Raw genomic sequence first — 13,230 nt, 5'->3', positions numbered from 1 at the left:
AGGGGCTGCACAGTCAGCCAGGGGCTTCTCTTCCCACCTCTGGCTGCATCCAGGGGCATCTACACCCAGGGTGGGGCTCAGAAATGGTCCCTTCTCCCCAAGAATACAGAGAGAATCAGGGTGAGAAGAACCACTTTAGAAAAGGGTTAGGTGTAAAACAGGAGAGGAGGGGAGGGAGGGAGACAGGGAGAGAGAGAGAGAGTGAGAGAGAGAGCTAGAGACTGAGATAGAGGTAGAAACAGAGACAGAGGAAGAGACAATGAGAGAAACAGAGACTGAGAGGAAGGAAGGCTACAGAAACAGAGACAGAGGAAGAGACAATCAGAGAAACAGAGACTGAGAGGGAGGAAGGCTACAGAAACAGAGACAGAGAGAGACACAGACAGAGAGGAGGACGAGGGCTACAGAGACTGAGAGAGTGACTATGAGAGACAGAAAAAGACAGAGGGAGAGAGGAGCTACAGAGACAGACAAGGAGATGACGAGACAGAGGCAGAGGGAGAGAAAAAGGGAGGCACAGCAGGAAAGACGGGGCCGAGTGAGGAGGAGTTGCCACGGCAGCAGCAGGGAAGGGGGAGAGCAGGGCCATTTGTGCTCCTGGCGCTGCCCGAGCTCAGGCTCTGCAGTCAGACCCAGTCCTCACCCAGCTCTTCACCCCACCCAAGTGGCCCGAGGCAAGGGACCCACCCTCTCTAGCTCACTGGAGAATCTGTGTCCCTAACAATACACCAGCCCAGGCACCCAATCACAACCCCCAGGCAGGCTGTCCCTATGCTGCTCGGGTGAGGTTTACATCTGTTGTCCTAGTATTATTATTATTGAGACGATGTCTCGCACTGTCACCCAGGCTGGAGTGCAGTGACATGATCTCGGCTCACTGCAACCCCCACCCTCCGGGTTCAAGTGATTCTCATGCCTCAGCCTCCTGAGTAGCTAGGATTATAGGCACCTGCGACCCTGCTCAGCTGATTTTTTGTATTTTTAGTAGAGATGGGGTTTGGCCATGTTGGCCTCGAACTCCTGACCTCAAGTGATCCACCTGCCTCAGCCTCCCAAAGTGCTGGGATGACAGGCGTGAGCCACTGTGCCCAGCCTGGTGTCCTTGTATTATTATTAGTCCACTCTCAAATGCTTCCCAGTATCGTACAATAAGCCACCAGGTCACACTACTTGGAAATCCACATAAGTGACCGGGCGCAGTGGCTCACGCCTGTAATCCCAGCACTTTGGGAGGCCGAGGCAGGCGGATCACGAGGTCAGGAGATGGAGACCATCTTGGCTAACACTGTGAAACCCCATCTCTACTGAAAATACAAAAAATTAGCCAGGTGTGGTGGCAGGCGCCTGCAGTCCTAGCTACTCGGGAGGCTGAGGCAGGAGAATGATGTGAACCGGGAGGCGGAGCTTGCAGTGAGCTGAGTTTGCGCCACTGCACTCCAGCCTGGGCGACAGAGCGAGACTCTGTCTCAAAAAAAACAAAGCAAAACAAAATCCACATAAGTTTTGCATTAACCTCCAATGTAGTTCACACATGCTTTGTCCCGAGTTTCCTCTGGGCTTAACTGGAAATCCAATCAACGCAGCAGGATCTGCATCTCGGATTTCATGCTGAGGACCTACTGTGTGCTGTGCACGGGCTGGTGCTTACACATCCTGGATGCGTTGAACTTCCAAGAATTATAGATGTTACGTTAAAACACTTTTAAAACATAAGAGAGAAGTAATATGTTACATAATGTTGGCCAGTGGCCTCCCCAAATCCGTAAGTAGAACGTAACTCGAAGTAAGAGTGAGACGGGAATTTCTCCCTGGGTTCTCAGTGCTCTGCACCGGGTGGGAATCCTGCTGTGGGCTGATCCCAGCACTTAAACATAAGTGCTTTCCATATTCCACGGCTTCCCCTAGTGCACAGCGCTGCAAGCTGTGAACGCGGTTGAGTATTGGCAGGTTTTTTTCCAGGGGAAGGGAGAGGCAATAGTGCATGTGCCCTCCCTCAGCTATTCCCCAAAGAGAGGTCATGATCTCCACTCTCCCGAAGAAGCATCGAGCAGAGGGCAGGAGAGGTGTCCAGGATCACTCAGCTTCCAAGAGCAAAACTTGAGATCTCAGCGCAGCCCTGCCTGAATGAAAGTTTGGAGGCTGATGTTTTCTACCGGGCCTCACATTTCCCAAACATTAAACCGTTGACTGACTATTAAAGCCATTAGCGTTTGAAGAAAAATAAGCTATCTTTAGTGAAAATGCAAGTCACATAGAACACTATGGCCAGAGCCCAGCCCATTCTGGATAAATGCTAGCTCTGGTCAATGTCATTATTCCAGAACTTATGTTTTTCTATAGCTGTGCACCATACAAACAGAACCTCCAAGCAAAATAGGTTTGAGCTACACTTTAAAAGTCTGACCCTGGGACAGTGTATAGATTCACAGCTTCTATTAAATGTCAAATGGATTTTAATTTCGAAGCTATAAAACAGAGCAATAAAATACCTAGGAAAATAGCTCAACCCTTTTCTACTTCTTAAAAGGAGAAATAACAGGATTGTGGCGGTAAAGAAAAAATCAATCTTTAGTAGGTTTGGAAAGCTTTGCTTAAATTGAAGTTTTCCAGGGGTGAGGTATATAGAAATAGAGATTATTCTGTTCCTACCAGGGCTGAATATGTTTAATCGTCATTTTTTAAAAAAAAATTAAAAATGGCTTTTTATTCAGTTCAGTAGGCTGTCCTCATAAGCTCCCTAAAGCAAACTTCCCTCCAGATTCCCATTATCTTTGTGCCAACAGCTGCCACCCCCACCCCGGGACCCTGTGCTCACCATTCACCTGTCAACACACATTTAGTGCCAGGTGCTGCCCAAGTGCTGGGGCTGCGTGCAGAAGAGCACAAAACCCCCCAGATGAGGCCTCACTTCCCCATTTTACAGTTGGAGAAACTGCTCTCCTGGATCTAACAGTCTGAGGAGGTTGGGGAGGAGGGTGTGGGGAGCAAGCAGTGTGGCACCGTGACACATGCCAGGAATGAAATAAGATAGGGAAGGGTGGTGAAAAGAGGCTGGGGACTCAAGTTACCTGTGAGGGAGGAGCAGAGATGCCCACGTGGCCGCAGAGCAGCAAAGGCAGAGTGGTAGGCAGTGGTTAGCTCAGGGACAGCTTGGTGGCCATCAGAAAAAGTTTGGACTTTCTTCCAAGTGCAGCCAGCCACCCCTGGGGCATTTCAGGCAGGGATGCTGGCTGGTATGCACGCCCTCTCAGCTCAGCCCTGGCTCCCAGGAGCATTCTGCTGTCTCCTTCTCTCCAATTGCACCAGGGACTCCTACTCCCAGCCGCTCATTGAATACAGAAAGATGCAGTGGTTGCAGGGGGAAAGAGAAACGTAAGGTTTTCTCCAGTAAGACCCTATGAATCCCCTTGAATGATCTTCCATCATCTCAAATGTGATGCATTAATTACCTGAAACAGTCCTCTTTTTGGAGGTCCCATCTCTGCCACTGTGAACACATTCTTTCCTCCTCTGCAGCCAGCTGCATTGGCATCACTGGAAACTCTTCCCTTGCCTTCTTCCTGGAGCTAGTTCTCTTTTTCTTTATTTTTGAGACAGGGTCTTGCTGTTATCCAGGGTGGAGTGCAGTGGCAAGATCTCAGCTCACGGCAACTTCCATCACCCAGGCTAAAGCGGTCCTCCCGCCTCAGCCTCCCCAGTAGCTGGGACTACAGGCATGAGCCACCACATCTGGCTTTTTACTTTTTCTTTTTTTTTTTTTTTTTTTTTTTTTAAGCAGAGACAAGACTTTGCCATGTTGCCCAGGATGGTCTTGAACTCCTGAGCTCAAGCAATCTGCTTGCCTTAGCCTTCCAAAGTGCTAGGATTACAGGTGTGAGCCACCATGCCCAGCCTCTGGGACTAGTTTTCTATTGCTGCATAACAAATAGCCACAAACTTGGGACTTAGAATGACATCCATGTATTGTCTCATGGTTTCTGCAAGTCAAAGTCCAGGCACAGACATAGCAGAGCTGACTTTTCAGCTCAGCATCCCACGAGCCTGAGATCAAAGTTTGGGCTGGGCTGGGCTCCTGTCTGGAGCTTGGGGTCTTCCTTGAACCTCACACAGTTGTTGGCAGAATTCAGTTTCTGTGGTTGTAGGGCCCAAGCCATCTTTCTCCCACTGGCTGTCAACCAGGGGTCGCCCCCAGCTCCTAGAGGCTGCCCAAAGTTCCTTGCCATGTGGATCCCTCCACAGGTCCCAGTCTCTCTGAATTCTTCTGTCCTTGACCTCTAGATCTAAATTTAAAGGGCTCTGATGACGAGGTCAGGCCCACACAGTTCATATCTTTGATTAACTCAAAGTCAACTGATTAGTTACCTTAATCACATCTGCAAAATCCCTCTTGCCACGTAGCCTACCATAACAGCCGAACACCAGGAGGCAGAGGCCACAGGCCATCTCAGAACTCTGCTCACCACACTCCTCTATGTCCCATGCTCCTTACATCTGAGTTCCCTTTCATTTAGGCCATTCCTTCCCTCACACCTTTCACACTGCACTACGCCTAACTCTTCCAATGCATTGCACACTCTCACGCCCCTAAACTTTTGCCCAGGTGATTCCCTCTACTGTGAATGCCTTTCCCTGCCTGGGGAATCTTGTCCTTTGAAGCCCAGCTCAACGTCCCTTCCTTCCTTAAACCTCACCCTGCACAGGTAAACCTGCAGGCTTCTCGCCAGTGGTCCTTAGCAATCTCTTCACACTAATAACACAACATGCCAGGGTGACGAGTCTCCAGGTCTGGCTCTGACACTTACAAACTAGTTAACTGGGTTTCTCCATGCTTCAGTTCTCCCACAGGTCCAACGGTGATTATGAAGGTGTTGACGTCCTGGAATTGTTGTGAGAGTTCATGGAGTCCATCCATGTAAAGCAGAGGGAACCATGTCCATCACAGGGTGAACATTTGACAAGGGGTCATATTGTGGGGTGAATGTTTGTGTCTCCTCAAATTCATACACTGAGCTGCTCACCCCCAAGGGGACGGCAGGAGGTGAGGTCTTTGGGAGGTGACTGGGTCATGAGGATGGAAAGATTGGTGTCTTTGTTGTTTTGAGACAGGGTCTCACTCTGTCACCCAGGCTGGAGTGCAGCCACGCCAACATGGCTCCCTTGCAGCCTCTACCTCTCAGGCTCAAGTGATCCTCCCATCTCAGCCTCTCGAGTAGCTGGGACTACAGGCATCTGTCACCACCCCCAGATAATATTTTACTTTTTTTGTAGAGACAGGGTTTCTCCATGTTGGCCAGGCTGGCCCTGAACTCCTGGGCTCAAGCAATCTGGCCTCCCAAAGTGCTGGGATTACAGGCATGAGCCAGCGCAACTGGCCAAGTTTAGTGTCCTTATAAAAGGGACCCCAGAGAGCTGTCTCGGCCCTTCCACCATGAGGACACAGGGAGAAGACAGCTGTCTATGAGGTGCCCATCTTGGACTTGCAGCCTCTAGGACTGTGAGAGAGAAATGTTTGTTGCTTAAGCCCCCAGTCTATAGTATTCTGTTACTGCAGCCGGAACAGACTAAGACAGGTGTCGCTCATGATGGGCCGATGATGCAGAGGGCATGCTACCTGCTGCCGTGCTCTGCCATCTGCGCACCACCCACAGCCAACTGTGCATTCCCGAGGGCCTTGCAGCCTTTCTGTTTCATTCCTTCACCTTCAGGACCTGGCTCCGTGCTGGGCACATAGTAAGAACTCCATAAAAGCTCTCTGCCTAACATGACTGTGCGTGATAGGAGCCAGCACACGTTAATTTTCATGTAGAGAGAGAAAAAAACACCTTTTTGTTTTTGTTTTGAGACGGAGTCTCACTCTCACCCAGGCTGGAGTGCAATGGCGTAATCTCAGCTTACTGCAACCTCCACCCCCCGGGTTTAAGCAATTCTCCTGCCTCAGCCTCCCAAGTAGCTGGGATTACAGGCGCCCACCACTATGCCTGGCTAATTTTTGTATTTTAGTAGAGATGGGGATTCACCATGTCACTCAGGATGGTCTCGAACTCCTGACCTCAAGTGATTCACCCACCTCGGCCTCCCAAAGTGCTGGGATAACAGGTGTGAGCCACTGCGCCCAGCATCCCACTGTTGTTTTATCACATCAAGTCCTTTCTATTTTCTGGCCCATACGACCCTGGAATCAACCCCACTCCACTCCCAAACCCACAGCAGGCCCTCCTGGGACAGCTGACACCTCTTCTGTCAGGAGCGAGGAGGACACTGATGGCCAGAGGCAGCCTGGACTCTGGGACCAGACGTCACCTTTGATGTGTCCTCCTCAGGTAACCCACTGTCGTTGGTGTGCACAGTGTGCTCCGGCTGAGTTACAGTTCTCATTTTCAGCGGAAAGGGGTATCCCTGATCCAGAGCAGAGGTCACAGGCTGGCAGCAAATCTCCCCACGAATGTGTAAGTAGGTCCCCATCATGTTTAAAAGAATCATTTTGGCTGGGCGCGGTGGCTCATGCCTGTAATCCCAGCACTTTGGGAGGCCAAGGCAGGCAGATCACAAGATCAGGAGTTCCAGACCAGCCTGGCCAATATGGTGAAACCCGTCTCTACTGATAAAATACAAAACTTAGAGGGCATGGTGGCGCACACCTGTAGTCCCAGCTACTCGGGAGGCTGAGACAGGATAATCACTTGAACCCGGGAGGCAGAGGTTGCAGCAAGCCGAGATCACATCACTGCACTCCAGCCTGGGCAACAGAGGGAGACTCAATCTCAAGAAAAAAAAGGAATTATTTTAGAATCTGACTGAGTTGTCTGCATTTATAAATCGGTAATACCCACATAAGAATCGACTTTCAGCCGCTCTTCAACAGCAGCAAGGGCTGTATGTCTGACCCCAAGGTCCCTAGGGTTGCACCTGACCAGGCCACCTCACCCCCTGCATACCTGGGTGCCCTCCAGACACCTGAGCTTGAACCTCCTGCCCAGCACAGGCCACACTGTGTTCTACTCCCTCCACTCATTCCTTGCCCACACCTGTTTGCCAGGAAGTCTTTCCCTAAAGACCTCATTGCTGCTGCCCAGGCTAATCCATGCACTGCTATAGCCATTGCTGATATCTTAGTCCTGTCCCTTCTTAGATGAGATGTGAATATTCATTCAAAGACTCTGGACATTGTGTCTAGACCCAGAGCTAGCCCTGCAGGTCTGCAACAGGCAGCTAGGAGAACAGTTGACTGCCCCAATCCCACTATACACTGCAGCTCACTCCGCCCTTGAAGGCATGACGTGTTCAACCCCTCACTGGAGCACGCACACGGGGCCGCCATAGGACACAAGTGCCAGGAGGCCGAGGGGGACAGGGGCACACACACGGGGCTGCCATAGGACACAAGTGGCGGGAGGTGGAGGGGGACGGGGCACAGACATGGGGCCGCCATAGGACACAAGTGCTGGGAAGGGTGGAGGGGGACAGGGGCACACACACAAGGCCACCGTAGGACACAAGTGTCAGGAAGGGAGAGGGGGACAGAGTTCGGGTTACCAGAAAAACTGCCTGACTCACAGAGTGAGTGTTATGGTTTCAAAAAAAAAGGTCACATTTCTGTTCCTTTTGTTGGTTTAGTCTTTACGATGGTTAATTTTATGTGTCAGTGTGCCTGGGCTAAGGGATGTCCAGATAGCTGGTGACGCCTTATCTCTGGGTGTGTCTATGAGGCTGTTTCTGGAAGAGATTAGCATTTGAATCTGTGAACTGAAGAGGGAAGATGCACCCTCAGCAATGTGGGCCAGCACCATCCAATCCGAATAGAACAAAAAGGGGAATCTTCCTGCTTCTTGAGCTGGGACATCCATCTTCTCCTGCACAGAGACATCTAAGCTCCTGAATCTCAGCCTTTCAGACTCCAAGAATGTGCGATAGTCATCGTTCTTTGCCTACCGTATTTCACTTAATATAATGACCTCCAGTTCCAACCACGTTGCCATAAATGACATGACTCCTTCTTTTTTATGGCTGAATAGTACTCCACTGGCCATATGTACCACATCTTCCTTATGCATTCATCTGTTGATGGACACTTAGGTTGATTCCATACCTTGGTGATTGTGAGTGGCGCTTTGATAAACATGGGGGTGCAGGTCCATATGCTGACCTCCTTTCTTTTGGATTCACAACCCTGATTCTTGGGCTTTTAGCCTCGGACTGAATTGCACCACTGGCTTTCCTGCATCTCCAGCTTGCAGACAACAGATGATGGAACTTCCTGGCTTCCATAATCATGTCAGCCAATTGCTATAATCTCCTCACATATTTATATCTGTCTCCTACTGGTTCTGTTTCTCTGGGGAACCCTGACTAATACTGTTTTATAAAAGATTCACAAAATGAAAAGAATAGGGAATGCCCTTTAACAGTCACCCACATCCTTTACTGTATGTAAAATCAGTTTTCTGTTTTGAAAAATAGGTAACTGGGGTATTAAACATACAATCTAACCTGTTGAACTTCATCTTTTTATATCGGGTTTCTTTACATTCTCAATTAGAAAATAAAAGCGAATGCAGAACTACTAACTGCACATTTAGCATTGATTTGAATAGCATACATGGTAATATATACTCCATATATGTACATAACTAAGGCTGACGCTCTGACATGGACATTCCTTCTTAAAAAATGGAATGCTGGTTCTAACGCATATTGAAATATATATTTAATTTTTTTTTTTAGATACCCAGCTCTGTCACCCAGGCTGGAGTGCACTGGTGCAATCTCGGTGCAGTCTCGGCTCACTGCAACCTCCCCCTCCTAGGTTCAAGTGATTCTCCTGCCTCACCCTCCCATGTAGCCAGGATTACATGCACCCACCACCACACCTGGCTCATTTTCATATTTTTAGTAGAGACAGGGTTTTGCATGTTTGCCAGGCTTGTCTCGAACTCCTAACCTCTGGCAATCCACCCACCTCAGCTTCCCAAAGTACTGGGATTACAGGCACGAGCCACTGTGCCCGGCCTCATATTTAAAATTAATCTTGCCAACACTGGCAACCCACTAGTGGTTCCTTTCATCTGAGTTTCTTAGTCAAGATTCATAGAACCATAGTCCCTGACTTATTTAAAATGCATGTTGTTGTTTAAAACAACAGCTCCTACCCCATGCTAGGTAAAATTGGAAGAAGACCGTAAAGAAAACCAAACCAGACTGAACCAGGTGCGACATCCACGTCTAGCACACTCTTTCAACGTGTGTTAAGAATCGCAGCCTCCCCCAACATAAAACCAGAAGAGTTCTATTTTTTTTAACATCCTTTGTGAAATGAACACGAAAGCGCTGGAATCAAAATAAGTCTGCAACGAGACTCCGTGAGTGCCGCAGAGTCGTGTCTGATGGCTCACAGGAAGCCGGTAACTCGCAGAAATGACCTGAATACATCGGCGGCACGATAATGATTTGCAGACATTAAAAGGAGTATCTTACAAGAGGCTGTATGAAATTGGAAGAGCCAAACAGCTCTCATTCTTTTGTTCAGCCTAATAGATCCACTTATAAGGAATTGCTATTCAGACGTTCACTGATAAAGTTGGAGTGCTTTCTTTGGTCCTCTGAAATTGAGCTATAAAGTAAATAGACGTTGCCTTTTGGGAGATGGAAAAAAAAAATCCCAGAACACTTTGCCAGAGCGGATATTAATATTCACTGACCTGAAGCTTGGCTGGCGTTGATTTTGAGAGACATGGAATATGGTAAAAAGCAATAAGCCTTTGTTTGGAGAATCAACAAGTAACTACTGAAAACTCTTCCTATTCTGATATTATTTAGGTTTTTAGGTATTACTATCAAAAGAGAAGCCTTTAGTGCTACCTACACCTTTTGTAGACAATAACAGAGAAACTCCTGGGTCCCACCTTTGCTATTTCCCTCCGCTTCCCAGGATGGTCAGTGCATTTATTCATGACCTGCTGATACCTTGCGACTTGCAATCTCCACCCCCACCCCCTGCCAGCCCCCACTCCCTTGCTGCCCCCCCACCACCCGCCGTTCCCCACCCCGCTGCCACCTCCCCACCCGTCCCCCCCCACTGCCTCATGAAGCTGGCTTTCATCTTGTTTGTGCTGGAATTTGTTTACGACTCTGTGAGAAGCAGGCAGTGAAAAGCATGACACGTCACCACACTATAGAAAGGGAAAGTTGAACTTGAATTAAACATCTGCTGTAGGAAATCTTAAAAACTGAATATTCAAGTATTTGAGTTTTTAGTTTTTAAGCATAACTTTCTGGATTTTGGAATATCATATGTGCTTTAATAAAGATGGTTAGGCGTAAAACCTAATATTTTTTTAAGAAGCTAATTTTTGCTGAAGGTGGTGCTCATGCCTGTAATCCCAGTACTTCAGGAGACCAAGCAGATGGATCGCTTGAGGCCAGGAGTTCGAGACCAGCCTGGGCAAAAAGGCAAGCTCCTGTCTCTAAAAAAATAAACAAAATTAGCCAGGCGTGGTGGTGCATGCCTGTAGTCCCAGCTACTTAGGAGGCTGAGGTGGGAGGATCGCTTGAGCCCAGGAGGTCAAGGCTGTAGTAAGCCATGATCACACCACTGCACTGCAGCCTGGGCTACACAGTGAGACCCTGTCTCATAAAAAAAAAAAAAAAAAAAAAAAGATTTTTATTTACTACTGCCTAACAAGAGGCATACGTAGTGACAATGCCTTCCTTTTTTTTTTTTTTTTTTTTTTTTTTTTTGAGGCAGAGTCCCACTCTGTTGCCTATACACAGTGCAGTGGCGTGATCTTGGTTCATTGTAACCTCCATCTCCCGAGTTCAAGTGATTATCCTGCCTTGGCCTCCTGAGTAGCTGGAATTACAGGCATGCACCATTCCCAGCTTTTTTTTTTTTTTTTTTTTGTCTTTTTAATAGAGACGGGGTTTCACCATGTTGCCCAGGCTGGTCTCAAACTCCTGACCTCAAATGATCCTACCACCTCAGCCTCCCAAAGTGCTGGGATTACAGGCGTGAGCCACTGAACCACTGCACCCAGCCAACACCTTCCCTTTTGATAATATCCGTGTTTACTGAGCTCTGAGCATGTTTCATGTGCACCTCTAAGCTCTGCCATCAACTCATTCAGCGCATGTCACAACTCTAAGAGGCAAGTATTACTATGAGCTCCACTTATCCAGAAGAGAAAGTGGGGCTTGGAGACTCGGCCAGGGTCACTCTCTGCAGGAGGCACTCAGGGCGTCGGATGCAGGCAAACCCTGGACCGCAAATCCCCAGAACTGTCTGTGGCCCCCTACACTGGGCAACACCTTTCCATGCTCCTGGGAGGTGATGGCACACATGTGTGCCCCAGAAGTTACTGGATAACCAGCTGGACCGATGGACAGGTACATGGCCCTTTCTTCTATTTCCCGACATTCACACGTGTTTCTGTATTTACACAAGAACCCTGCATACTTTGTGCGTTTGTTTCAAGGAATGAAAAGTGATCGCATAGGCGCCCGTCCTTTGAAAGCCAGCAGATGTTCCATAAATACAAGGTTGTGTCTGAGAGTGCACGTTTCAGAAATCAGAAATCCGAATATCTCAGAGGTGATTATCTTTCCCAGCCCCTTAGAGCAACTTGGCAACAGAATCAGGAATGGAACTCAATGCTCCTGTTCCCTAGGCTTCTGCTAGTGGTACACCCAGGCAGCTGCCCAGGTGATAACAGAAGACAGCATGCTCTCCGCAGGGCTCCGGGTAGGACAGGAATACTAAGCGCTAACAGAAAGAATCTCTCCATTAAACATAGAGGAAAACTATTCAGATAAGGTGAGTGAATGGAGGGAAAGAACTTTTCTTTACCTGAGGATTGGAAAACAGTAGCCCTGTGACTTCATGCTTCACCACGGCAGCATTCCCGGGGATGTTCCTGGCCAATACCGGTACTTCTAAATCCATTGCCTGGAGGAGACAGGAGAAAAGGGGGTGGAAGGCAGTCATTTCAAGAGCCTCTGCGGCAAGATGAGTCAGGGCGGGGCAGAATAACTTCTTGGGTTAACTGGACCTCTGGCACCTCACAAAAAATACGCCTTTCCAAAACGATATCCCAATCTCAACAGCATGTTTTCAAAATACATCTGAGTTTTAATTACTTAGTATGTTTGGAAGCTCTGAAACACTATACGCTGTAATCGTTTGTCTGACATAATTATTGCAGTGTCACAAAGAACCCCCTCTCTCTGAATGCTCATTTGACACCTCTTCACCGACCGACCGCATGGAGCATGCATTTTTAATTACCATCATCACTTTCCCTGAGGAGCCATTTCCTTCCAGCACAGGCAAGGGAGTATGAATGCCACAAAAACCAAACTCAGCTCTCTGACATGCAGACAAAAGTAAAAGGAAAATGATTTATCATTCTGATTATTCACGAAGCCGACTTTCCATTTCCGAAGGTCTGGAGATATGTGCCTGATGCCCCACAGCCTGGCAGCACCTAGCAGCTGTGCCACAAGAAGATGGCCTGACAGCACAGTGTGCAGCCCTGGCCTCGCCTGCCCGGAAAGGAGGCATTTTGCGGGTTCTCTTTCTACAGTGTTCTAAGTTCAGTGATGTCAGGTTGAAAGGAAACAGAAGCCAACTTCAAGGGGATCCCACTGACCACAGCGGGACAATTTTGCAACTTCAAAAAGAATAATGATTGTAACAGATGGTAACACACTAAATTTCAAAAATACCTGATTCCCTAGTCATGAGAGGGAAATGAAAGGAAAGAGGAGGAGGAGGAGGAAAAGTAGGAGGAAGAAAAGGGAAAGCTCATCTCTGCAGAAGGGTCTGCACATATAATAAGTGTAGATAGAAGAGCGGAATTAGAAAATCATCACTTTGTAACCCCCAGTGTAATAAGTGATTCAGGTGAGGATCGGGGATGAACAGTTGATCCTAGTGGATCCCGATCAAATCCATTGAGTAAAAGGTCATCGGGAAACAGGATACAGATGGTCTCTGACTTATAATGATTCGACTTAGGATTTTTTGACTTCATGATGCTGCAAAAGCAATACATGTTCAGTAAAAACCATATTTCAGCAACAATATAACCATTCTGGTTTTCACTTTGAGTACAGTATCCAATAATATCTTCCGTGAGATATTCAACACTTTATTATAAAATAGGTTCGTGTTAGATGATTTTGCCCAACTGTAGGCAAATGCAAGTCTTTTGAGCATATTTAAGGTCAGCTAGGCTG

The 13,230-nt window shown here is 48.0% G+C and overlaps 1 protein-coding gene across 12 annotated transcripts in view, besides 1 other annotated feature; it reads right to left on the bottom strand.

Annotated features, from left to right (window-relative positions):
• The window catches only part of GLT1D1 (glycosyltransferase 1 domain containing 1), a 131,491-nt gene that overhangs the window by 15,486 nt on the left and 102,775 nt on the right, over nucleotides 1-13,230 (bottom strand). For 11 of the 12 annotated variants that reach the window (NR_159493.1, NR_133646.2, NM_001366889.1 and 8 more), the window contains one exon: nucleotides 11,840-11,938. Coding sequence is in view for 9 of the 12 variants with exons in the window: in NM_001366889.1 (NP_001353818.1) it covers nucleotides 11,840-11,938 (99 nt within the window). In the remaining 3 variants the exon portion in view is untranslated. Of the gene's footprint in view, nucleotides 1-11,839; nucleotides 11,939-13,230 lie in introns of those variants that run through there. The other variant, XR_001748588.2, reaches the window with a different exon arrangement.
• Nucleotides 11,656-12,855: an enhancer, noted in NCBI's record as "BRD4-independent group 4 enhancer chr12:129441173-129442372 (GRCh37/hg19 assembly coordinates)". NCBI's record gives its function as "activates an origin of replication core promoter dependent on BRD2, P300/CBP, MED14 and CDK7 cofactors, and independent of BRD4, by STARR-seq in HCT116 cells {active_cell/tissue: HCT116}" and the evidence as "EXISTENCE:reporter gene assay evidence [ECO:0000049][PMID:35650434]".

The sequence above is a fragment of the Homo sapiens genome, chromosome 12 (assembly GCF_000001405.40).
Source record: "Homo sapiens chromosome 12, GRCh38.p14 Primary Assembly".
NCBI classification, from domain to species: Eukaryota; Metazoa; Chordata; class Mammalia; order Primates; family Hominidae; genus Homo; species Homo sapiens.
This window is presented reverse-complemented; position numbering and strand designations above follow the sequence as displayed.